At 39.1% G+C, this 27,355-nt stretch overlaps 1 long non-coding RNA gene across 1 annotated transcript, besides 2 other annotated features; it reads left to right on the forward strand.

Moving 5' to 3' along the window:
* Positions 7,268–7,781: an enhancer, noted in NCBI's record as "H3K4me1 hESC enhancer chr15:24199761-24200274 (GRCh37/hg19 assembly coordinates)". NCBI's record gives its function as "activates a minimal SCP1, AML or CMV promoter by ChIP-STARR-seq in primed H9 embryonic stem cells {active_cell/tissue: H9 hESC(primed)}" and the evidence as "EXISTENCE:reporter gene assay evidence [ECO:0000049][PMID:30033119]".
* On the forward strand, positions 7,690–26,229 carry LOC107984787 (uncharacterized). Its single transcript, XR_007064535.1, has 3 exons — positions 7,690–8,050; positions 23,198–23,291; positions 26,191–26,229. It is a non-coding gene; the product is annotated as an uncharacterized LOC107984787 (long non-coding RNA).
* Positions 7,782–8,293: an enhancer, noted in NCBI's record as "H3K4me1 hESC enhancer chr15:24200275-24200786 (GRCh37/hg19 assembly coordinates)". NCBI's record gives its function as "activates a minimal SCP1, AML or CMV promoter by ChIP-STARR-seq in primed H9 embryonic stem cells {active_cell/tissue: H9 hESC(primed)}" and the evidence as "EXISTENCE:reporter gene assay evidence [ECO:0000049][PMID:30033119]".
* Positions 26,230–27,355: the final 1,126 nt, after the last annotated feature.

Raw genomic sequence — 27,355 nt, forward strand, 5'->3', positions numbered from 1 at the left:
ATGCATACCATGACGCCTAACTAATTTTAGATGTTTTGTAGAAATGGGGTCTTACCTTGTTTCCCACACTGGTCTTGAACCCCTGGATGCAAATGGTACACCCCCAAAAGTCCTGAGATTACAGACGAGAGCCACCACACCTTGCCTCTACTTTAGTTATTTCATAATGTAATGAGTTTATCAGCCACAACTAACAGGATAACATAGAAAAGGCAGGTTAGTGGGCCGGGCACAGTGGCTCATGTCACCTAGCACTTTGCGAGGCCGAGGCATGCAGATCACAAGGTCAGGAGATTGAGACCATCCTGGCTAACACGTTGAAACCCCGTCTCTGCTAAAAATACAAAAACAAAATTAGCCAGGCGTGGTTGTGGGTGCCTGTGGTCCCAGCTACTCAGGAGGCTGAGGCAGGAGAATGGCATGAACCTGGGAGGCGGAGCTTGCAGTGAGCCGAGATCGCACCGCTGCACTCCAGCCTGGGACAGAGCGAGACTCCGTCTCAAAAAAAAAAAAAAAAAGAAAAAAACAAAAAACAAAGAGGCAGGTTAGTGTTCACATGGGGTGGTTCATGTACTTAAATACATCGTTTACGTCATTTCTAAGGCCATCCCTTCATCCTCAAGCTTGGTGCAAGATCACAGCCATGAACAACCTGTTGTTTTCCGTTCAGGAATAAGATGAAAAGGTGAAGGCCAAGTTCATTCAAATTACTTGGTTGTGCCTTTGCCTTTTATTTATTTGCTACTCCTGTAGTTCTGTTCACCATGTTTTAGTGTAGTAATGATGACACCACAGCCCTGTCAGTATGGATGTTGGCATCTATGCTGTCTCACATCTTTACCATTAGATGTGGAAAATGGCTTGACAAAATTCAGCCACTGTGTTCTCCAGACTCTATGTTCCCTCTTGTCAACTCAGTGTGCCTTCCACAGTTTATGCTACAGCACAGCCTGGGAACTCCTAAAGCAGTATCCTTACTCAATAGTAGGTCTCAGACCATTTTTCAAATTTCTCACTTATCGCCATTCTTCACTGATGGATGTGTAGTGTCTGGAATCCATTTTCACATGTAATTCATCCAGTTTTTTGGTTTGTTTGTTTTTACATGTGGCAAGCCATGTCTAATCTCTATCAGTTGTTCCACATCTTGTTTCATTTTTTCTGGAATTACTCATACATGATTCTTCCCCAGTTAAGTGGTTCTACTTGGCCATGTGAAGGTGAGTGAGGACAAATGTGAGTCCAGCACAGTGAGGAAGGCAGACAGGAACTGGCATTTGTGACATTAAAGAAAAGTTAAGAATTGGTGAAATGTGGCCTGGCACAGTGGCTCACGCCTGTAATCTCAGCACTTTGGGAGGCCGCGGTGGGCGGATCATCTGAGGTCAGGAGTTCAAGACCAGCCTGGCCAACATGGAGAAACCGCGTCTAATAAAAATACAAAATTAGCCAGGCATGGTGGTGCATGCCTGTAATCCCAGCTACCCGGGAGGCTGAGGTAGGAGAATCGCTTGAACCTGGGAGGCAGAGGTTGTGGTGAGTTGAGATCACGCCATTGCACTCTAGCCTGGGCAACAAGAGTGAAACTCCGTCTCAAAAAAAAAAAAAAAAAAAAAGGTGAGATGTAGTCGCCAATAAAGATTTGGAAATATTTATCAAAGGAGCCATATTAACAGAGCTAATAGAGGTGAACAATATTTTTCTCAGTCTCAGAGGGCAGAACTGTGGTTAGGACAGAAGAGGAGCAAGTAGATGAGGTAGAAGCAGGCAGGTCAGTGAGAGGAGCTCTGCAGTGTATTGAGGTTGGGGAGGCTGGAGAAGAGGCTAAGGGGGAATTAGGATTCAGATTCTGTCCTGAGAACAGAAGGGACAACAACAACAACAACAAAAACCAGCTTTATCTTCAAGTTCAAATCATTTTCAGATAGAAAGACTTGAAATTTATTGGGAAGAAGACAAGAATATAGGTGAGGAGTTAGATTTGTAAATTTATTTGTAGAATTCAATATAAAGCAGAATCTGTGTGTTGCTCTATTAACATGTGTGGGGCTCATAGGGGAACAACATAGACAAAGTTTCCCTCTTCTGTGATATTTCAGTTCAGTGGGCACTGAGAAAACTTAACAGAAACTAAACTGTAGGTGGAGGAACTGCCCTTGGGAGCCCAGAGGACAAGTTTCAGGCCTGGGATGGGATGGGCAAGGGAGGCCTCCAGGAGGAGGAGCGTTGGAGGAGATTCTGGAGAGTAAGGAGTAGTGAGTTCAGCAAACAGGGGAGGGAAAGGGAAGAGGAAACTGTGTCTGTGGCACAGGCTAGCCCATGAGAAGAGGACAGTGGATTGAAAGGACAGCTGAGATGAGAAATACGTGAGGAGGCAGGAGCTGGAAGGGCAGACCGTGGAGGCACTGGGTAATGATCCAGGAGAGATGTTTCTCCTTGGACATACACATGTTCACACACCTGTGACTGCATGTCCTGGTGATGTTTCTGTGTCTCTCAGATTGTAACATGTTACATAAATTTATTCTTTCATCACATGTCCCCTTTTAAATTATATTTGTACTAATTGTTAACTGTAGAAGTTTTTTACTGGTGGATTATTTGTACTTAAATGATTTGCTATCTTAGTAAATGAATGAAATTACCCACATATGTTTGACTTTGGAAACTAATATAGGTACACCTGCTTCCTTTGATTTTTGTAATCATGTTATATTTGTTGTACCCACTCACTTTTAGGTCATATAGGTCTTCATATTTAAAGTGAGTTTCATATAGACAACATATACTTGGGTCTTTTTGATTCACTCAGTCTTTTATCTACTGCATTTAGAACATTGACATTCAAATCATTGATATAGCTGATTAAAAATCTATGAAACTTGTCACTATCTTCCAGTTGTTTATTTGCTTTTGTTCCTATTTTTTGTATTTCACTCATTTTCTACCTTGTGTTGTTTGGATTAGCTTTTTTGTTTGTTTGTTTGTTTGTTTGTTTGTTTGTTTTTTGAGACGGAGTCTCGCTCTGTCTCCCAGGCTGGAGTGCAGTGGCAAGATCTTGGCTCACTGCAACCTCCGCCTCCTGGGTTCAAGCGATTCTCCTGCCTCAACCTCCTGAGTAGCTGGTACTACAGGCGCATACCACCACGCCTGGCTAATTTTTGTATTTTTGAGTAGAGACGGGGTTTCACCATATTGATCAGGCTGGTCTTGAACTCCTGACCTTGTGATCCACCCGCCTTGGCCTCCCAAACTGCTGGGATTACAGGTGTGAGCCACCACGCCTAGCCTAGATGAACATTTTATATAAATTCATCTTCTCTCCTTTCTTAGCATTTCAGCCATACATTTTTAAAACTTTGTTTAGTGGTTAAACTAGGCAATAAAAACTTTTATTTTTCATATTCTTAATTGATCTAACAAATAACAGTCTGTTAAAAATAGTAGTAGTACCAATGTATTTAAATAAGTATGCTTAAGTATGTGTCATACATAAATTAATATATATATACACACACATGTGTATTCTATGTAAGTGAAATGAATGACTGCAATGATACAAGGGATAAGAGAAAAGAATTAGGATTATTCTGGTATAATAAGGTGTTCACACTTTCTGTCAAGTGATAGGCTGTTATTTGAAAGGGGGCTTGGATTATTTGGAAGTGTAAATTGCAAACTCTAGGGCAGGCTGTTGGTCCAGAGCCTCAGTTCCTTGCTGGCTGTTGACCAGAGGCTGCATTCAGTTCCTTCCCATGTTGGCTTCTGCCTTATGGCAGAATGAGCCATCAAAGCCATCAAGGCAGAGAGCTTGCTAGCAAGAAAAAAAAAATCACACTTTTATGTAACATAATCACCCATATGATATCCCATCTCCTTGTATTATTCTATTGTATCAAAGCAAATCACATCTTATCTTGTGCCCAATCTCACAGGGAGATGATTACAATACAAGGTCGTGTAAACCAACAGGTGGTGATCATTGGGTACCGTCTTAGGGTACCTGCGATATCAGGTCCTTTCTGAGGTGCAGCAGTTTCCCAGTATTCAGTTATTTTTCAGAAAAGAACTGGTCAAATATTTTGTAGGACGCATCACAATGTGGATTCATCTGATGGTTTCTCGTTATTTGAATAGAACTACAGATCAATTGGAACAGCTTTATTTATTTAAATTGGAAGACAATACAAACTGAACAATATATTATTTAGAAAAACAAACTTAACCATAAAAATAATATAGAAAAAAGTGGGAATGATAAAAAGAAAATGGAAAATAATAGTAACCTTCATGGGGGTAAGAAAGACTGTGGAATTGGGGAGATGAACATTTAGGGCATTAACAATATTGATAATATTCTGTTTATCAAGCTTGGCAGAGAGTATTTAGAAAGAGAGGAAAAAACTCTTCTGTTTTGCATTAGCTTTGGATTTACAGAACAGTTGCATAGTCAATACAGAGAGTTAATATATAGCCAACACAGAGTTTCCATTATTATTAACCTCTTACATTAGTGGGGGGCATCTGTCACAATTAACACACTAACATGCATTCTCATTCACTGATATACACATATCCACATATTAACCAGATTTATTTTTTCCTTTTTTCACTTAATGCCCATTTTCTGTTCCAGGAACTCTTCCAGGATAGCATATCACATTTTGATATCATGTCTCCTTAGTCTTTCTTTGTCTCTGTCAGTTTCTCTGAATTTCCTTGTTTTTGATGACATTGACATCCTCCATTTGGGATTTCCGTGATTTTTTTTTTCGCTTACAGTCAGACAGGAGTTCTGGGTTTTGGACAGTAAGACCATAGGGGTAAGTGTGATACTCACGACATTATATCAGAATGCTGTATCAACTATTGATACTAATTTGATCACCTACATTAGGGAGTTTAGGTCAGTTTCTCAACTCTAAAATTAATCTTTCTTCCCCTTTTCCATGCCATACTTTTTGGAAAACTGTTACTATGCATAGCACATACTTCACAAGTGGAGAATTATGCTCTACCTCCTTGGGGATAGGACATCTACAAATATAATTTGTATTTCATTACTATAGGCAATTTACCTATTCTCCAGCATTTATTTTATATTAATTTAATTAGAACATATGGAATATTATGCAAATAATAAATATTTATTTCCACTGTAATTGTACTAGTTTATTGTGTTACTCAAATTGCTCTAGTGTTGGTCATTAGAAGGTCTTTCAGTCAGCTGCTACTTTACCACTTTGAAATACCCACATCATTGCTGTTTGATTTTGTTTGTGTAGTTGGGTGGTTGGTTGTGGTGTTTAACTTTTTCTTACTTTCTGGCACTACAAGGTGCTTAAACTTAATAGTGTTGATTCCCTGCCCAACCCTACCATTAAGCATTTCTCCAAAAATTCCTAGTTCCTTTTTTGGTGAGTGGCATTAGAAACAAAACTCTGGGGAGTAGTGTTCTCATTTCTACTAGGGACTTACTAGTTCTATGCTTTGTCATCTGACAAAGTATGTGTGTGTGTAACTCATATTGACATATGTATTTGTAGGTCTACATTTCTCCATATGTATCTATGTAAAGTTAAGCATGAATTCTTCCTGTTTCTAGCACCCATGATCTAATTCAGTACCACATGAATCAATCTCCCCATTCCCACTACTTGTATGTTACCTCCCATGTTAACAGTGAGACGGTTGGGCTACTTTATGTAATTTCAGAGCCCAAAATACATGCAGAGTTTTTTTAGAATTGGTAATTCATACCCCGATGGGAAAGAATATTTCCAACTAAAGTAGAGTATTTATGAACAAATACTTTGACATTTAGCCTAAGAACTTCTATTTTTCTAAATTTCTTAGCTTGGTCTCCTTTGCCCCCACTTCCTTCCATGAGGTTATTTCATTTATTTGTTACACATTTATATTATTTTGACTGCATTCCCCCATAGGATCTCCTAACCTATTAAATGACATTTAAAATTCACATTTATGTAGGTTTATACTTTTTGATGTAAAATTCTACGGGGTTTGTAAAATAGTATAATTAACATACCATTGAAGTATCACAGAAAATTATTTCACTGCACACATACAAAGTTTCTATTTCACCTATTCAACCTTTCTCTCTCAAGCACCCAGCGCTTTTTTTTTTTTTTTTTTTTTTTTGAGACGGAGTTTTGCTCTTATTTCCCAGGCTTGGAGTGCTGGAGTGCTGGAGTGCAGTGGCATGATCTCGGCTCACTGCACCTTCTGCCTCCTGGGTTCAAGCGATTCTCCTGCCTTAGCCTCCTGAGTAGCTGGGATTACAGGCATGCACCACCATACCCGGCTAATTTTGTATTTTTAGTAGAGATGGGGTTTGACCATGTTGGCAAGGCTGGTCTCGAACTCCTGACTTCAGATGATCTGCCCGCCTTGGCCTCCCAAAGTGCTGGGATTACAGGCGTGAGCCACCGCTACTGGCCTCAAGCCCCTTTTAATCACTTACCTTTTTCCTAACTATAATTACACCTTGTCCACTATGTCATATAAATGTAATTAATTACACAGTATGTACTTTTTTCAAACTGGCTTCTTTCACTTAAGAATATGCTTTTAAGATTTGTGGGCCAGGCACGGTGGCTTATGCCTGTAATCTGAGCACTTTGGGAGGCCGAGGCGGGTGGATCACCTGTGGTTGGGAGTTCGAGACCAGCCTGACCAACATGGAGAAACCTCATCTCTTGAAAATACAAAATTAGCTGGGTGTGGTGGTGCTTGCCTGTAATCCCAGCTACTCGGGAGGCTGAGGCAGGAGAATTGCTTGAACCCGGGAGGCAGAGATTGCAGTGAGCTGAGATCATGCCATTGTACTCCAGCCCAGGCAAAAAGGGCAAAACTCCGTCTCAAAAAAAAATTTGGGAAGTGTATCTATCTCTTGATAATGTAGATTTGCATTTTAATAAATAAGTACTAAAGGTGTGGAAGATATTTTCATGTGCTTTTTGGACATTTGTGTAGCTTCTTTGGAGAAATATCTGTTCACACAATGTACTCATATTTAGTTATGATCTTTTCTTTGTTTTGTTTTGTAACAATGTTTTCTATATTCTCGACAACAGACCCCTATCAGCTATATGACTTGCAAACATTTCTCCCATGTTTGGGTTATCCTTATGGTGTACTTTGAATCACAAAAGTTTTAAAATCTAATGAAGTTCAATTTATCTATTTTTTTTTCTTTTGCGGCATGTATTTTGGTGTCAATCTATTGTTTCACCTAAGCCACAAAGATTTATTTCTATGTTCTATTCTATGGGATTTGTAGTTTCAGCTCATACATATGAGTCTATGATCTATTTTGAGTCAGTTAAGTATATTTTGTGAGGGAGGAGTCAACTTTCATGCCAATATCCACTTGTCCCAGTAATTTTACAGAAAATATTTTCCATACTAAATTATCTTGGCAGCCTTGAAAAGTCATTTTTCGGTAACTGTAACGATTAATTTTGAATACTTTATTCTATTTACATGGTTTTTATTTACATACTTGTGTATTCTGTATACTTTCCTCTATTCTACCGGAAGCTGGAAGCAGCCTGACAGGATGTGTGGTGCCCAAGTCTGCACAGTGAGGTGGGGAGTGAGGGCCGCAGGCAGAGGGCAAGGGACAGGGGACAGGGGGCAGGGGGCACAGGGCAGAGGGCAGCGGAGAGGCCCAGGCCTACAAGGAAAGCGAGGGCTGAGGAAGGACGGCGGGAGGACTGCAGAGGGAGGCAGGCAGAGTGAGGGCGGCAGGCAGACAGCAGGAGTGAGTGGGCGCCAAGAGCTGGGGGGGAGGCCCACAGGGAGAGAGAAGGCAGAGGGCAGAGGGCAAGGCTGACACTGGAATGTGGGGGCGGCGAGGCCCACAGGGGAACTGAGGGCGGCTCTCTGCAGGGTCAGAGGCATTGGGCTTTCAGGGTCGCTTTTCTGCGAACTTCCGCTTGTTCCCGAGGTGGTGCCTGCCTGTGTCGTCGTCCCTGTTTGTTCTCCTACAAACCTCAGGAGTTTTCCATGTTTCCCAGACCTTAAGGTACATTTAAACTGTGTGCTTTCTCTCACATGTGCCCTTTTATATTATGGACGTAGTAATAGTTATTTACCTAGGTTTTTTCTTTTTGAATTATTCGTAAAGAACTTACCAAAGTGGCTGGGCACGGTGGCTCACGCCTGTAATCCCAGCACTTGGAAGGCGGAGGCGGGTGGATCGCCTGAGGTCAGGAGTTCGAGACCAGCGTGACCAAGATGGTGAAACCTCGTCTGTACTAAAAATACAAAAATTAGCTGGGCATGGTGGCGGGTGCCTGTAGTCCCAACTACTCGGGAGGCTGAGGCAGGAGAATCGCTTTAACCCGGGAGGCGGAGGTTGCAGTGAGCCAAGATTGCACCACTGCACTCCAGCCTAGGCGACAGAGTCCGATTCCGTCTCAAAAAAAAAAAAAAAAAAAAAAATTACCAAAGTGTTTTATTTATTTATTTATTTATTTATTTATTTATTTATTTATTTTTATTTATTTATTTTAAGATGGAGTCTCGCTCAGTCGCCCAGGCTGGAGGTGCAGTGGCGCGATCTAGTCTGACTGCAAGCTCCGCCTCCTGGGTTCACTCCATTCTCCTGCCTCACTCTCCGGAGTAGCTGGGACTACAGGCGCCCACCACCACGCCCGGCTAATTTTTTTTTTTTTTTTTTTTTTGTATTTTTTAGTAGAGACGGGGTTTCACTGTATTAGCCAGGATGATTTCGATCTCCTGACCTTGTGATCCGCCCGCCTCGGCCTCTCAGAGTGCTGGGATTACAGGCATGAGCCACTGCGCCCGGCCCAAACTTTTTATTTTTAATGGACATCAATTGCGTATATTTATGGATTATGATGTGATGTTTTGATTTTTATATTCATAGTGGAAGATTTAATCAAGCTAATTAACATATGCATCAGCTTACCAGCTGACCAATATTTTATGGTGAGAATATTAAAAATCTGTTATTTAGCAATTCTAAAATGTTCAGTACGACTTTGGAGCAAATGAAAGTGCCCGGCCTCAGGAGCCTGAGACTGATCATTTCTGAAGCGTGGGGTCGTCATTTCTGAGAGGGTCATGGCTGCATGCCCGTAAGCAAGGGGGGTGTTTGGGATGCTTTGTTTGCCCTGTTAATTTTGGATGCCTCTGTGTTCTAAGAACTAAGATAATATTTGTGTGAAAAATGCAGTTGCTTTTACTTTTACTTTGTTTTACTGTTAATAGCCTTACAGCTTTTCTTTAACTGAGTTTGGATTTAATATATTCTTCTTTTTCTAAGTTGCAAAGCTAGAAACAGATGACAGATTTTTGATCTTTCATTGTTTCCTATGTATGCGTTCAGTGCTATACGTTTCCCTATATGCTCTGTTTTCCTTTCATCTCACAAATTTTGAGAAATTGTGTTTTCATTTTCATTTAGGTTGAAAAATTAAAAAATTAAAAAACTGTCTGGTTGTTTTCTTTGACCCATACGTTATATGGAAGTGTGTTGTTTAATCTTTATGCATTTTGTGATATTCCAGTTGCTGCAGTTATCCTGCGATTTCTGATTTAATTCCACTGTAGTCTGGGAGCTGACATTGTATGATTTCCATTTTCTTTAAATTGTTAGAGTATTTTTTTGTCCCAGAATGTGATATATTTTGCTGAATATTCCATACAAGCTTAAGAAGAATGTGTCATCTGCAGTAGTTGAGGGAAGTAGGCTGTAAGTGTCAGTTATGCCCAGTTGCTTGGTGGTGCTGTTGTGTTCAGGTTTTCCCTCCTGAATTGCTGCCTGCTAGATCTGCCCATACTTGACATATGATAACGTTTCCAACTGTAATAGTGAATACATATCTTTTTCCTTGTGGTTCTGTTGCTTTCTGTCTCACATAGTTTACACTCTGTTGTCAGGCTCATAGGCTTTAAGAATTATGACATCTTACTGGAAGAGTGGCTCTTCATCTCTATGTAATGCCTTTCTTTATTCTTGATAACTTTACTAACGAAAGAAGGGAATTAGAATTGTTTTGTTGTTATAAGATACAGTACCTGTGAAGCAGTGTAGTTGTATTTTAAAAGCAGCTTGGGTTAGTTTTATTTTTTAATTTTGATTATTTTGATATCTTTTAATATAATTTTGGTTTTTTAAAAAAATTATCTTTGGGGATACACATGCAGGTTCATTACTTAGGTAAACCCGTGTCACAGGGTTTGTTTGTTACTGAAACACCAGGGGTTTGGTCTAGGTCCTGCTGCTGGCTGCACAGAAAGCCAATTACTGAGAGGACAAAGTATTGCCAAGGAAGAAGGCCTTAATTGGGTGCTGCAGTCAAGGGGATGGGAGCTCAGTCTGCAATCTATCTCCCTGACTGACTAAAACCAGGGGTTTATGTAGCAGGGAAGAAATGTAACACTGTGTAAGAAAACACTAACTAGGGAGGGTGCAAGGAAGTAATCATGAAGAAAGAAGGGTCTGTGAAGTCTGGGGTCATTGTCTGCTTTCAGTTCTTTGATCCTTTTTGTGAGAGGCCTGAAGTTTGTTTCCTGGGGAGGGAACTCAGATAAAACAAATACAAGTTTCAAGGTTTAACAGCAGAAGGGTCAATTTCCATGTTTATCCAAAAATAACTGTCTATGGGACTGAGGCCAATTTTAGTTGTACAGATTATTTGATCACGCAGGTGCTAAGCCTAGTACCCAATAGTTATTTTTTTCTGCTCCTCTCCCTCCTCCCACCTTCCACCCTGAGGTAGGCCCCAATGTCTGTTGTTACCTTCTTTGTGTTCATGATTTCTCATCATTTAGTTCACAGTTTTAAGTAAGAACATAGCAGTAGTTCTCTATTCCTGTATTAGTTTGCTAATAGCCTCAGGCTTCATCCATGTTCCTGGAAGAGTGGAAGAGACATGATCTCCTTTTTTATGGCTACATAGTATTCCATGGTGTATATGTACCACATTTTCTTTTTTCTGTCATTGATGGGCATTTAGGTTTATTCCATGTCTTTACTATTGTGAATAGTACTGCAGTGAACATTCACATGCATGTAGAATGGTTTATATTTTTCTGAGTATATACCTAGTAATGGGATTGCCAGGTTGAATGGTTGTTCTGATTTTAACTCTGAGGAGTCCCCGTACTGCTTTCCACACTGGTTGAACTAATTTATATTCCCACCAACAGTGTATAAGTTATCCCTTTCTCCTGCAACCTCATCAGCATCTTTCATTTTTGGACTTTTTAATAAAAAACCATTCTGACTGGTATAACATAGTATCTAATTGTGGTTTTGATTTGCATTTCTCTAATCATCTGTGATACTGAGCTTTTGTAAATATGTTTTTTGACTTTTTAATAAAAGCCATTCTGACTTGTGTGAGATAGTATCTCATTGTAGTTTTGATTTGCATTTCTCTAGTTAGTGATATTGAGCTTTTTTTATATGCTTTTTAATTTTTTCATAAAAGCCATTCTGACTGGTGTGAGATAGTATCTCATTGTGGTTTTGATGTGCGTTTCTGTATCAGTGATGCTGAACTTTTTTGTCATATGCTTGTTGGCCGCATGTATGTCTTCTTTTGAGAAGTTGTCCATGTCCTTTGCCCACTTTTTAATGGGGTTGTTTGTTTTTCTCTTGTAAATTTGTTTAAGTTCTTTATAGATGCTGAATATTAGAGCTTTGTCAGATGCATAGTTTGCAGATATTTTCTATTTTCTCCCATTCTGTGGGTTGTCTGTTTACTTGTTGATAGTTTCTTTTGTTGTATAGCTCTTAAGTTGATTTGGATCCCTTTTGTGAGTATTTCCTTCAGTTGCAATTGCTTTTGGCGTTTTTTTCAGGAAATATTTTCCCATTCCTATGTCCAGAATGGTATTGCCTAGGTTGTCTTACAGGGTTTTTATAGCTTTGGGTTTTACATTTAAGTCTTTAATCCATCTTGGGTTGATTTTTGTATATGGTATAAGGATGGGGTCCAGTTTCAATCTTCTGCATATGGCTAACCAGTACTCCCAGCACCATTTATTGAATAGGGAGTCTTTTCCCCATTGCTTGTTTTTGTCTGCTTTGTCAAAGATCAGATAGCCATAGGTGTGTGGACTTATTTCTGGGCTATCTAGTCTGTTCACTTGGTCTGTGCTCACCTTTGTACCAGTACAATGCTCTCTTTTTTTTACTGTAGCCCTGTAGTATAGTTTGAAGTCGGGCAATGTGATACTTCCGGCTTTGTTCATTTTGCTTAGGATTGCATTGTCTGTCTGGGCTCTTTTGTGATTTCATATGAATTTCAAAATAGTTTCTTCTAGGCCGGGCCTTGCGGTGGCTCATGCCTGTAATCCCAGCACTTTGGGAGGCCGATGTGGGCAGATCACGAGGTCAGGAGATCGAGACCATCCTGGCTAACATGCTGATACCCCATCTCTACTAAAAATACAAAAAATTAGCCAGGTGTGGTGGCACATGCCTGTAGTCCCAGATACTCGGGAGGCTGAGGCAGGAGAATGGTGTGAATCCAGGCGGCGGATCTTGCTGTGAGCCAAGATCGCACCACTGCACTTCAGCCTGGGTGACAGAGTGAGACTGCCTCAAAAAAAAAAATAGTTTTTTCTACTTCTTAAAGAATGTCATTTGTAGTTTGATAGGAATAGCATTGAATCTGTAAATGTCTTTGGGCAGTATGAGTCAGTGTTAAATATAATATTACCAACTGTAGGACAGTCTATTGCATAAAAAGCCCATTACTTTTCTGGCTATTGGCCATTGGCTGAATAAAGTGCCTTGCCAAGGGGACTTCTCTCACATGGCTTCATAAAATCCATCAAGCAAGAGATATTTCTAGCAAAACCAATATCATAATTGTATATAAGAATCCAAGTCACATTTATCCACCTTTGCACTATTCTGTTGTTTCAAGGCACGTCACAATTCCTGCTTACACTAACCGGGATGGGATTAGAATAGAAGGTTATGCATTGGAGAAGATGGGGCTAATTGGGCACCACCTTAGAATCTACTTGACACATCAGATATTCTCCTATATGAAACAGTATCTTGGTCTTCACTTGTTTTTAAAGTGACCCTTTTGAAAAGTACCAGTCAGGTATTTTATAGCATGTCCTACCTACAATATGGTTTTGTGTGATCATGATGACAATGTAAGTATGGATGGAATTAAATACAGTCACCTAAGTTTGAAGACAAAAAAGACCTAAACAATATAGTATTCAGATTTAAAAACTCAGAGGAGAATAATTTTTAAAATAGGAAATGACAACGAATTCACAATATAGTTTTAATTCAGTGGTTAAGGAAAACTATGAAATTAAGTAGATGGCACAAAGGAGGTATCAGCAATATTGCTAATGATTATTTTTCTTAAGCTTGGGAGTGACATTTAAGAAAACACTTTTTCACTTTGGGGGGTCGAGGCAGGTGGATCACGAGGTCAGGAGATCGAGACATCCTGGCTAACACAGTGAAACCCTGTCTCTACTAAAAATACAAAAAAATTAGCCAGGCATGGTAGCGGGTGCCTGTAGTCCCAGCTACCTGGGAGGCTGAGGCAGGAGAATGGCATGAACCCAGGAGGCGGAGCTTGCAGTGAGCCGAGATTGGCCACTGCACTCTAGGCTCAGTGAGAGAGCGAGACTCTGTCTCACAAAAACAAAACAAAACAAACAAAACAAAACAAAAAACTCTTTTTAAAGAATAGGTTTTTTTTTTTTTTTTTTTTTTTGAGATGGAGTCTCGCCCTGTCGCCCAGGCTGTGTGCAGAGTGGCGCGAGCTCAGCTAACTGCAACCTCTGCCTCCTGGGTTCAAGCGCTTCTCCTGCCTCAGCTTCCCGAGTAGCTGGGATTACAGGTATGCACCACCATGCCCAGCTAATTTTATTTGTATTTTTAGTAGAGACGGGGTTTTTCCATGTTGGTCAGGCTGGTCTCTAACTCCCGACCTCAGGTGATCCACCCGCCTCGGCCTCCCAAAATGCTGGGATTACAGGCGTGAGCCATCGCGCCGGACCGTTTCTTTTTTTTAAAAAGAATACTTTTACATTTACAGAATAGTTGCAAATATATTAAAGAGTTTCCAACATACCCCACACACAGTGTCCCTTATTATTTACCTTGTACATTAGTGTGGGACATTTGTCAAATTAACCAGCCAATATCATGGATTATCATTAAGTACCATCTACACTTTATTCAGATTTCTTAGTTGTCACTTAATGTTATGTTTACGTTTTAGGATCTCATCCAGGATACCTCATGACATTTAGGTATCATGTATTTTTAGGATCTTCTGAATGTGATAATATCTCAGAGTTTTATTGTTTTTGATGGGATTGACATTTCTAATTTGTGGTTTCCCTGATGTTTCTCTCATGAAGAGACTGGATTTGTGGGTTTAGGGGAGGAAGATCACAGAGGAAATGTGCCATTCTCATCACATAATATCCCGGGCACAGGGTATCAACTGGCTTTAATCACTGTTGATGTTAATTTGATAACCTGGATGAGGTAGTTACTAACAAGTCTCTTTTGTAAAATTACTCCGGCCGGGCGTGGTGGCTCACGCCTGTAATCCCAGCACTTTGGGAGGCCGAGGCGGGCGGATCACGAGGTCAGGAGATCGAGACCATCCCGGCTAAAACGGTGAAACCCCGTCTCTACTAAAAATACAAAAAATTAGCCGGGCGTAGTGGCGGGCGCCTGTAGTCCCAGCTACTTGGGAGGCTGAGGCAGGAGAATGGCGTGAACCCGGGAGACGGAGCTTGCAGTGAGCCGAGATCCCGCCACTGCACTCCAGCCTGGGCGACAGAGCGAGACTCCGTCTCAAAAAAAAAAAAAAAAAAAAATTACTCCTTTCCCCCCTTTTCATGTTGTATGCATGAAAAAAAGTCACTATATACAACACACACTTAAAAGTGGGGGAATCATGCACCACTGCTTTTTAAAAAAAATTGTAGGTTTAGGATTATAAGTGGTTTTGGGTTGCATGAATGAATTGTATAGTAGTGAAGTCTGGGGTTTTTAGTGTACCTGTGACCTGAAGAGTGTATATTTTACCTCATAGTGAGAGGTGAAGCCAGCTGGACTTCCTGGGTCAAGTGGGGACTTGGGGAACTTTTCTTACAAGAGGATTGTAAAATGCACCAATCAGGAACTTTTGTGTCTTGCAAGAGGTTTGTAAAACGCACCAATCACCGCTCTGTAAAATGCACCAATCAGTGCTCTGTAAAACGCACCAATCAGCAGGATTCTAAAAGTAGCCAATAGTGGGGAGGATTGAAAAAAGGGCACTCTGATAGGACAGAAACGGAACATGGGAGGGGACAATACGGGAATAAACAATGGCCTCCTCCCAGCAGCCGCAAGCTGGTCCGGTCCTTTTCGAGGGTGTGGAAGCTTTGTGTTTTTGCTCTTCACTGTTAACCTTGCTACCTCTTGTTGTTTGGGTCCGTGCCATCTTTAAGAGCTGTAACACTCACTGGGAAGGTCCGCTGCTGAGTCGGTGCCATCTTTAAGAGCTATAACACTCACTGCGAAGGTCGACTGCTGAGGGTTCCCGGCTGTGAAGTCAGCGGGACCACGAACCCACAGGCAGGAACCAACTCCGGACACAATGGGTGATTTTTCATTTCTCACTCCCCGCTAACCCTTCTCCTTTCTGAGTCTAATGTCCATGATCCCACTTTGATTTTGTTCGTATATTTGGTTGTATTATTGATTCACTTTTTCTTTCTTGGTGGCACTACAAGTTGCTCCAGGTTAACTGTGTTGATTTTCTTCTCAAGCATAGTATTAAACATGTTTATCCATATTATGAAAAACATAGTATTAAACATGTTTATTCATAACTTATCTCCCATTTATAAGTGATAATCTGCAGTGTTTTTCTGTTCCTGAGTTACTTCCCTTAGGATAATGGCCTCCAGTTCCATCCAAATTGCTGCAAAAGACTTTATTTTGTTCTTTTACATGGCTGAGTAGTATTTTGTGGTATAGTGATATATATATTTTGTGATATATATTGATATATATTTTGTGATATTCATTTTGTGATATATGTATTTTGTGATATATGTATTTTGTGATATATGTATTTTGTGATGCATATATACCACATTTACTTTATCTGCTTGTTGATGGGCACTTAGATTCATTTAATATTTTTGCAGTTGTGAAATCTATTGTGATTAACCTAGAAGTGTAGATGTCTTTTTGATATATTGACTTCTTTTCATTCGAGTGTATACCCAGTAATGGGATTTCTGGATTGGATATTAGATCTGCTTTTAGTTCATTGAGAAATCTTCATACTGTTTACCATACAGGTTGTACTAATTTACATTCCCACCAAGGGTGTATAAGCACATTCCCTTTTCACCTTATCTTCACCAATAGCTATTATTTATTGACTGTTGAATAATGGCCATTCTGACTAGGGTAAGGTGATATCTTATGATTTTAATTTGCATTCCCTGATACTGACATTCAGCATTTTTTCGTATGTTTTTGATCACTTACAAGTCATCTTTTGAAAGATACCTGTTCATTTGCCCACTTTTTAATGGGATTATTCATTTTTTTGCTGATTTTTTTAACTTGCCAAAATAAGGTTTTTAGTTGATAAATAAGTTTAAAGTTTATAAATAAGGTGATAAATAAGGTTTTTAGTTTATATACTTTTATGTTTACCTTTTGTATACTTTTATGTTTATCCTTTGTGTTATAAAATTATATAGGATTTATTCATTTACTTAAATATGCATAGTGTCTGATTTTGAGTTTTCTTTTGTCATTGTTCATCTTTGTGAAAATATCGTATTGTCTTAGTTAGTGAGAGATTTCCGTTTAACACAAAATTTTTGCTCCAGAGCCCTGGGTTATTTATTTATTTATTTATTTTTTGGTTTTGTTTTGAGACAGAATCTCACTCTGTCGCTAGGCTGGAGTGCAGTGACGCTATCTCAGCTCATTGCAACTTTGACCTCCCAAAGTGCTGGGATTACAGGCGTGAGCCATCGTGCCTGGCCAGAGCCCTTTGTGTGTGTGTGTGTGTGTGTGTGTGTGTGTGTGTGTGTGCGCGCGCGCGCATGTGTGTGTGAGACAGAGTCTCGCTCTGTCACCCAGGTTGGAGTGCAGTGGCGCGATCTCGGCTCAGTGCCAGCTCTGCTTCCCGGGTTCACACCATTCTCGTGCCTCAGCCTCCCCAGTAGCTGGGACTACAGGCGCCTGCCACCACACCCGGGTAATTTTTTTGTATTTTTAGTAGAGACGGGGTTTCACTCTGTTAGCCAGGATGGTCTGGATCTCCTGACCGCGTGATCCGCCCTCCTCCGCTTCCCAAGGTGCTGGGATTACAGGCGTGAGCCACCGCGCCCGGCCCAGAGCCCATTTTTAATCATCTAGCTATTCTTTAATGAAGAGAGAGAAGAAATAAAATCCGTACGTCTTGAATCTAACCACTATTCCCAGTTTAACCTTGAAGAAATTTAGGTGTATTTATAACATTAAAACATTGTTATTCACACTTATGTCTCTAATATTCTTGTGAATCTTGGGTGATATTGGGCAGTGCCCTCAGTATCACTCCTGGTATTGTTTTTTGGTGGTGATTCATTCTTAGGGAATTAAACTTAATGTCATGCCGCCTCCTTTTTTTTTTTTTTTGGGAGATGAATTCTTGCTCTGTCGCCCAGACTGGAGGGCAGTGGCGCAATCTCGGCTCACTGCAAGCTCCGCCTCCCGGGTTCACGCCATTCTCCTGCCTCAGCCTCCCGAGTAGCTGGGACTACAGGCGGGTGCCACCACGCCCGGCTAATTTTTTGTATTTTCAGTAGAGACGGGGTTTCACCGTCTTAGCCAGGATGGTCTCGATCTCCTGACCTTCTGATCCTTCCGCCTTGGCCTCCCAAAGTGCTGGGATTATAGGCGTGAGCCACCGTGCCTGGCCACCGCTTCCTTTTCTTTCTTGATTTCTGGAGCAAAGAATTCCCCAAAGTTGTATTCCATCTTCAACAGTCCGTGATAGGAAGAACCTGTACAAACATCCCTGCCTCCTCCTGCGCAAGCTCAGATGACACAGTGGGTATGGCCTTTACTCTATAAACCACTCCCACCAAGGACTGGGCAGCAGCTTGTTATCCCTGATAATCTTCTTGATTCAGAATCTACTCTGTCTGACAATGTTGTTACACCAGCTATTTTTATAATTTTATATTTTATAATTAGTGTTGGCAGGATATATTTTATTGCATTCATTACTTTAGTTTCAAGTAATCATTTAAAATGGATTTTTTATGAATAACATACAGTTGTGCCTTGCTTTTTCATCCACTCTGACAATTTTATCTTTTAACTAATTTCCTGTTTAGAAAAAAAAAAAAGTGTAGCTTTGCTGCCAGTGCTCATTTCTTGGGGCAAACAGGTAATGGGTTAATTTGTAAGGTTAGACCCTTGGCATTCAGCATGAATTTTGATATAGTTGGATTAATATTTTTTATATTTGCTAATATCTTCTAGTTGTGGCCCTTTATTCTTACTTTTGTTATCTGCTTGTTTTCTGCCTTTTGTGGTTTTAATTGGGCATTTTATATTATTTCGTTCTCCTAAATAGCATATCAGTCATACTTTTAAAATTTGTTTTTTAGTGTTTAGAGTAAAAACTTTTATTTTTTCATATGCTTAATTGCTACTTAATAAATTGTTAAATACAATAATAGCAACATCATATGATTAGGTATTCTTATGTGTATGTCACACTTATATACCTGTACATGAATATACATACAAGTATGCTTTATTCAATTGATATTAATGACAAGAATGATACAAATGATGGGATACAATAATTATTATTATTCTGTTATAAGGTGTTTACACTACCTTTTAAGTGATATACTGCTATTTGAAAGGGGACTTGGGATAGTCATGAATGTAAGCTGCAAACTTTAGGGCAGGCTGTTTGACCAGGAGCCTCAGTTCCTTGCTGGCTGTTGACCAGAGGCTGCATTTAGTTCCTTCCCATGTTGGCTTCTCTCACAGGGAGATTATTTCATATTGGTCATCAAGGGCGAGAGCTTGTATGCAAGACAGAAATCACAATTTTAAGTACCAAAACTGCATTACTGAATTGTTAGCAAGCAAGTCACAACTCCTGTTTACACTCATAAGGAGAAAAGTAGAATACCAGATTGTGTATCCCTGGAGGTGGGAATTACCATCTTAGGGCCTATCTACCACATCAGGTCTTGCCCAATCTAAAGTAGTTTCTCAGTCTTCACTTATTTTGCTGACCTTGGTCCTTGTGGGGAAAAAAAAAGAACCAGTCAGGTATTTTGTACAATGTACCATGATATGGATTTGTCCAAGTAGTTTCTCATAATTTGACTGGAGTTATGGATTAATTTAGGCACTACATTTCTCTAAGTTGGAAAAATGAAAAAACTGAATAGTATATTAGCAAAGCCAACTTACATAGAAAAATTAAAAAAAATGACAGAGACAAATAATAGTAACCTTCACCAGTTTAAGGAAGAAAATAGAATTTGAGAAATGCACTCAGGAACATTAACAATATTGATAGTATTCTCTTTTATTAAGCTCAGGAGTTAATTGGGGAAAAAAGAGAAACTGTTCTATTTTAGAATACTTTTGGATTTATGGAACAGTTGGAAATCAGTACAGAGAGTTTATTGATATCCAACACAATTTTCTTTATTTTTAATCTCTTAGTGTGGGATATTTGTCACAGTTAACAAAGGGAACGTTACACAGTTAACAAAATGAACGTTACACATTCATTAACACACATTATTTGTATATCGTTAGCTTTCACTTAATGTCCATTTATTATTCCAGGATCCCACTTGGGATCTATATAACGTTTATATATTGTGTCTAATTAGGCTGGTTTTACCTGGGCCAGTTTCTCAGACTTTCCCTGTTTTTGATGACATTAACATCCCTCATGGAGAATTTTTCTGATGTTAATCATGGTTAGACTCGACTGGTGGGTTTTGGAGAGGAAGACCACAGAGGGAAAGTGCCATTCTCATTACTTTATACCAAGTGAATATATGACAATATGCTTTATTGCTGTTGATGTTAACTTGATCATCTGGATAAAACTTAAATATTTCTTCTTCCGATGTTGCACTTTTTAAAAAGAAGTTGCTATGCACAACACATACTAAAGAAGTAGAAAAACATGCTCTACTTCCTCATAAGCAGATCTTCTTCTAAATCATTTGTATTTCTTCACCAAAGATAATTTGTCTATTCTTAATTTATTATCTATTTGTTCAATCATTTGTTTATATCGTATAAATTATAATATGAAGTCATAATATTAGTTTTACATTTTATTGTACTAATATATTATTAAAAATTGTTCTAGTGTTGGCCATTGGAAGGTCTGTATATACTCCTTTATGGTTTTGATATATTAGCATCATCACACTTTGATTTTGTTCGTATATTTGGTTGTATTATTGTTTCACTTTTTCTTTCTTGGTGGCACTACGAGTTTCTCCAGGTTAACTGTGTTGATGTTCTTCTCGAGCATAGTATTAAACATGGTTTTCAAGCAATCTCTGTTACTTTTTGGTAATTATATTAGAAACAAAGGTCTGGGCAGTGATTTCACTCATTTGTGTTTAGGATCTGTTGATTCTAGGTTATCTCAGCTAACGAGGGTAAAGGGATGTGTGTTTATACCAATTTACAAATGCATATGTATAGATAGTTCTACAGTTCTCTATATATGTCTGTATGAAGTTAGACATGAATTTCTACCTATATCTCCAGTACCACATGATATAATCCAGTACCACAGGAATCAGTGTACCCGATTCAACTACATTTATGTTACCTCTCAGTGTGTGAGAAAGTTAGTCATGTTTATGTAACCATGAGTCCCAAAATACAAGTATTGTAGTTTCTGAATTGGTAATCCATACTCCCAGGGGCAATAACTTCATCAACTAAAGTGCAGAGTTTATGTTTAAATATTTTGGTTTTTGGACATAGAATCTTATCAACTTACTTAGGTCAGTAAACCTTTTTTTCTTATACTTTTCACTCAGGTTATTCTATACTTTGGTTATATAGTTATGTTACTTTGTTTGAATTTCTCTCTGGGATCCCCCAACTTAATAATTATTGTTTTCTTAAAGCAATTTACATACATTATTTGGGTTTGCTCTTTGTGACGTGAAATTCTGTAGGATTAAAAAAATGGTATCATTAACACCATCACAGCATCATAATTTTTTTTTTTTTTTGAGATGTGGTCTTACTCTGTCACTCAGGCTGGATTGCAGTGGCATGGCCTTGGCAGTCTGCAACCTCTGCCTCCTGGGCTGAACTGATCCTCCCATTTCAGCCTCCTGCAGCGCTGGAACCACAGGCACACGTGATCATGCCAGGGTGATTTTTGTATTTTTGATAGAGATGGAGTTTCACCATGTTGTCGAGGCTGGTCTCAAACTCTTGAGCTCAAGTGATCTGCCCACCTCACCTCCCAAAGTGCTGGGATTACAGGGGTGATCCACCATGCCTGGCCCAGATAATAATTTTAATGTACAAATAATCTTTTGTATTTCTCCTAATCAAACTTTCTCTCTTCTAGGACCTTAGTAATAGCTCATATTTTTATATTCTTTATAATTTTACCTTTTCCTCAGTGTCATATATTGAAATTGCATAGACTTTTAAATATTTCTTCAAACATTTATGAATATGCCTTTAAGATTTGTGAAGTGTGTCCTATGGTAGCTTAGATTTGTATTTCCCCGAGGAGTAAAGATGTTAAGCATCTTTTTGGGAGTTTATTGGACATTTCTACAGCTTTTTGGAAAAATGTCTATTCATTCATACAATTTACCTACTTTTAATTAGGCTGGGTGTCTTTTTAATGTTGCATTTAAGAATGTTTCATGTGTTCAGGTGCGGAGGCTCATGCCTGTAATCCCAGCACTTTGGGAGGCCAAGGCGGGTGGATTACGAGGTCACAAGATTGAGACCAGCCTGACCAACATGGTGAAATCCTGTCTCTACTTTAAAAAATACAAAAATTAGCTGGTCATGGTGGCGCGAGCCTATAATCCCAGGTACTCGGGAGGCAGAGGCAGGAGAATTGCTTGAACCCAGGAAGTGGAGGTTGCAGTGAGCCGAGAATGCTCCACTGCACTCCAGCCTGGTGACGGAGCGAGCCTCAGTCTCAAAAAAAAAAAAAAAAAAAAAAAAAAGAATGTTTCATGTATTCTGGACAATAGTCTCCTAACAACTATATGACTTGGAAATATGTTCTTCCATTATTTGGGTTGTCTTGATGGTGTATTTTGCATCACAAAATGTGTTAATCCACATGGAGTTCAATGCATCTATTTTTTTTTCCTCTCACTTGTATTTTCGTGTCACATGTTAGAATCCATTGTTTCACCTAAGGCCATGAAAATGTATTTCTATGTTCTCATCTATGGGATTTTTAGTTTTAGCTCCTACATTTAGACACATGCTCTATTTTGAGTTAGACACATACGTAGTGCAGGAAAGAGTTTAACTTCCATGTGGATATCACCTTCTCCCAGTAACATTTGTTGAGAAAATATTTTTCCATCTTTAATTTTTCAACCTTGAAAATAAGTTTGCCCTAAAGATTGATTTTGGAGTACTGTGTTCTGTTGGCTTATATGTCTTTGTTTATGTTGTTATGTGACTTTTTCATAGATACAGTTTTTGGTTTAGAAAGTTTTCTTCTATGCCTAATTTTTCCAGAGCTCTTATCATGAATGGTTTTGGGATTTGTCAAATGCTTATTCCGCCTCTTTAGAGGTGACCATGAGGCTTTTGTTTTTTAAACTCTATTAGTATAGTTTATAACACCAATTGTTTTTGTACGTTTAACCAAACTTACACTCCAGGAAATCAGTATTTTTGCCGATAGTGTGTAATCCTTTTTATATGTTACTGGTTTATTTTGATAGTATTTTTTTTGAGAATTTTTGCCTCTGTTTCATATTGGTCTGTAGTTTTCCTTTCTCGAAATGTCTTTGTTTAGTTGTGGTGTCAGGGAACACTGGCTTCATACAGTGCATTGGGAAGGGTTCTCTACTCCTCTGTTTTTCTTGGAAGAAATAAGTAAAACATTGTTTTATTAAATCTCAAAAGCTTTGGAATAATTCACCAGTGAAGTCATCTTGGCCTGGACGGAAATTGGATCCTCACAACAATCACAATAGCTTTGAAGGTGATCCTTCCCCAGGTGAGCCTTCCCTTGAAATCTCCCCCTGGGTCATCTGACCAGGAGAAACTATAAGTAATGTGTATTTATGGGTAGGTTTGAACCTCTTTGCTGTGTAGTACTTTGTTATAGAGCAATCAGTAGGTAATATGCCTGACAGTAAACATAATGTGGTATCTTGGATTAGATCCTAGAACAGAAAAATGACATTACTGAAAAACTTGGTAAAATGTGAAGAAAGTCTATATTTCAGTTAGTTAGTTTTGTATCACTGTAAATTTCTGAGCTTTCATAGATATGTTGATATAAACTGTTAACATTTCAGGAAGCTTTAGGATATATGAAACCTATCTTCATAACTTTCTGTAAATCTAAAATTATTTCAAAATAAAAAATGTTTCTTAAAATGTATTATTTATTAAAAAAAAACAGACATAGACCACAAAGAAACCTTAGATCAGAGGATGAGTGGAGATGCAGAGAGTGAAAGGCAAAGTAGCTTGCCTCATTATCCCCCATTCCTACATAGGGCACCTGCTTGAGAAAGACACCATCAAGCTCTAGGGACTCTCATCCATTTTCTTTTTTCCCATCACCTTCCCCATTACCCAGTCACCAATTTCTTGCCTCAGTAACCACGTTTTTAGAGAAAGGTGACTTTCTCACATAGGTTAGAAGGCCCTGTTTTCAGGTGCTTCCTGGCAGTGTGTTTGTAGGATCCCAGAAAAGACATTTTAGACATTTTAGGCCGGGTGCGGTGGCTCACGCCTATAATCCCAGCACTTTGGGAGGCCGAGGTGGGTGGTTCATGAGGTCAAGAGATCGAGACCATCTGGCCAACATGGTGAAACCCCGGCTCTACTAAAAATACAAAAATTAGCTCGGCATGGTGGCTGGCGCCTGTAGTCCCAGTTACTCAGGAGGCTGAGGCAGGAGAATCACTTGAACCCAGGAGGTGGAGGTTGCAGTGAGCTGAGATCATGCCACTGGACTCCAGCCTGGTGACAGAGTGAGACTCCGTCTTAAAAAAAAAAATTTAAAAAATTAAAAGACAGAACTTCCAGACATTAGAAGACAAGATTGAGAAATGCTCAGTGATGGGAAACATGAATCATATGTCTGCATTAGGAGTGTTTTCTTTGTACAGGCATTCTTTTTCAAGTTTTAAAAGAGAAGGATACCTTTAAGCCCTTGAGAAAACACTGATAATTCAGTTTTCATCATGCAGACTCCATCATTAATTCATGGGACCACATATTTACCTAGGTCAGCTGCTTTCTTCCATTTTCTTTGGTGAGGTTATTCCATATATTCATTACATAGTTATATTATATTGTGGGCATCGTCCCTGGAAAGCCTCTACCTCCTAAATAAGGTTTTTAATTTGCATAACTTAGGTACACTCTTTGTGTTACAAAGCTCTTCAGGATTTGGAAAACATAATTAGGTATCCAGCATTACAGTATCAGAGAGTAATTTCACTGTCCAAAAGAAGTCTTGATAGTTAACTGATTCCACCTTTTTCTCCTTCAAGCCGCTCGTTACCACCAAACTCTTAATTATTGCTATCCTTTTGCCTTTTCTATAGAGTCATATAAATGAAATTGCACAGTATTTTGCCTTTACCAACTTACATTTTTTCACTTAGCAATATTTAGCAATATTTTTTTTTAGAATTTGAAGTATAATCCCGTGTCTGTTTAGATTTTAGTTCCCCTAATTTTTGCAGGATAGGTGACACCCAAAATTGGGGCTTCGCCTGGAGGGTTATTGGCTTTGCCAAGTAAAGAATTTAAGGGTGAACCAGTGGTGGTAGAAATCTTTTTATTTTATGGTACTTCTCCTTGCAGAGCAGGGCTAACTCTTAGGCAGTCTCTCCAGAGTTGGCAATCTATGGCCTCTTGACAACTGTATTTACACTAACGTAAATCTGCTTTCAGTTACATGAAAATTGAGGGTTGGATCATTACAAATTGAGAGGTGGGTTATTTAGAACTTTCTAGGGAATGGGCAGTAACTAATGGGTCATTGCCATTGAAATGGCTGTTAACTTTCAGGTTGTTGCCGCGGAATTTGTAAACAGTCATGGTGCTGATGGAGTGTCTTACGCTAATGAGGATGGCCAGGATCGCTTTTGTCTCTATCTACTGGTTTTGTTGGTTTCTTCACTTTATCCTGTGTGGAACAGATCTTGTTTTGGTCAGTAGGGTTGCTAGCAGAAAACAAGTGATGCCGTTCTCCCGCCTCAGAATGGCAAAAGGCATTGAGTGTCTTTTCATGTCATTTTTGGGTATGACTAGATTTTTTGGAATAATGGCTATGCGAATAATTTTCAATTTTTGATTGGTATATTTGCCTTTTTATTTTCAAGTTTTAAGATAGTCATATATTCTGAATAATAAACCATTATTATGTATAAAATTTACATACATTTTCTCTTTCCTTGGGTTTCTAATTTTGATGGTGTTCTTTGAATCCCAAAATGTTTTAATTGTAATGAAGTTCAGTACATCTATTTTTTCTTCTTTTCCTGTGTTTTCGGTGTCATATCTTAGAAAACATTGTTTCACCTAAGATTGCAAAGATGTATTTCTGTGTTTTTTGTATGGTTTGGGCCTGTTTAGCTATTATATTTAGATGTATGATTATTTTGAGTCAATTACGTTTGTGGTGTGAGGCAGGAGTCCGACCTGCCTACGGATATCTGCGTTTTTCAGAAACATTTGATTAAAAAAAAACTCCATACCTAATTTATTTGACCACATGCTAATATTATTTCCTCATAAATGTAAGGATTTATTTTTGTCCATTATATTCTATTCTGTTGATCAATATGTAAATCCTTATACAAGTACCATAAATCTTGATTTGTATTCTTTTGTATTAACAGTAAGTTTTTCTTTTTTTTTCTTTTTTTCAGGACAGAGTCTTGCTGTGTCTCCCAGGCTGGAATGCAGTGGTGCAGTCTTGGCTCACTGCAACCTCCACCTCCTGTGTTCAAGCAATTCTTGCGCAAGCAATTCTCGTGCCTCAGCCTCCCGAGTAGCTGGAATTACAGGCATGCGCCACCATGCCCAATTTTTGGATTTTTAGTAGAGATGGGGTTTCATCATGTTGGCCAGGCTGGTCTCAAACTCCTGACCTCAAGTGCTCTGCCCACCTCAGCCTCCAAAAGTGCTGGGATTACAGGCATTGAGCCACTGTGCCGGACTGTATTAATAGTTAAGTTTTGAAATCAGGAAGTAGATGTCTACAATTCCAACCTTTTGCCTCTTATTCGAGATTATTTAGGCTGCTGTGGGTCTATTGCATTGCATATGAACTTTAAAATAACCTTGTTAATTTAGGGGAAGGAAATATCACCTGGGATTTTGGTAGATGTTGCATTCAATCTATAGATCTATTTGGAAAATAGTGCCATCCTAACAGTACTAATCCTTCTAAGCAATGAACATTCAAATATTTTCTATTTATTTAATTTTCTTCAATATGTTTTCTAGTTTTTGTGTACATGTCTTACACTTAATTTGATAAACATGCCTATTTTCGATGCCATCTCAAGTGGAATGGTTTTCTGAGTTTTGTTTTTAGGTTGTTAATTGCTAGTGTATAGAAATTCAAAGGATTTTATATGTTGACCGTATATACTGTAAGTTTGTTACTCATCTTTAAGGTTTAAATATATTTTATTAGAGTCCTTTGGATTTTTTTATACATAAGATTATGTCATTTGCAAACAAGAGTTTGACTTCCCTTATCTGCCTTATTTGCTGCATGTTTTTTTTTGTTTTTGTTTTTGTTTTTGTTTTTTGAGAAGGAGTCTCGCTCTGTCACCCAGGCTGGAGTGCAGTGACGCAATCTTGGCTCACTACAAGCTCTGCCTCCCGGGTTCACGCCATTCTACTGCCTCAGCCTCCCGAGTAGCTGGGACTACAGGTGCCCGCCACCACGCCTGGCTAATTTTTTTTTGGTACTTTTAGTCGAGACAGAGTTTCACCGTGTTAGCCAGGATGGTCTCGATCTCCTGACCTCGTGATCTGCCTATCTCGGCCTCCCAAAGTGCTGGGATTACAGGTGTGAGCCAC

Source organism: Homo sapiens, chromosome 15, assembly GCF_000001405.40.
Source record: "Homo sapiens chromosome 15, GRCh38.p14 Primary Assembly".
Lineage (NCBI taxonomy): Eukaryota > Metazoa > Chordata > Mammalia > Primates > Hominidae > Homo > Homo sapiens.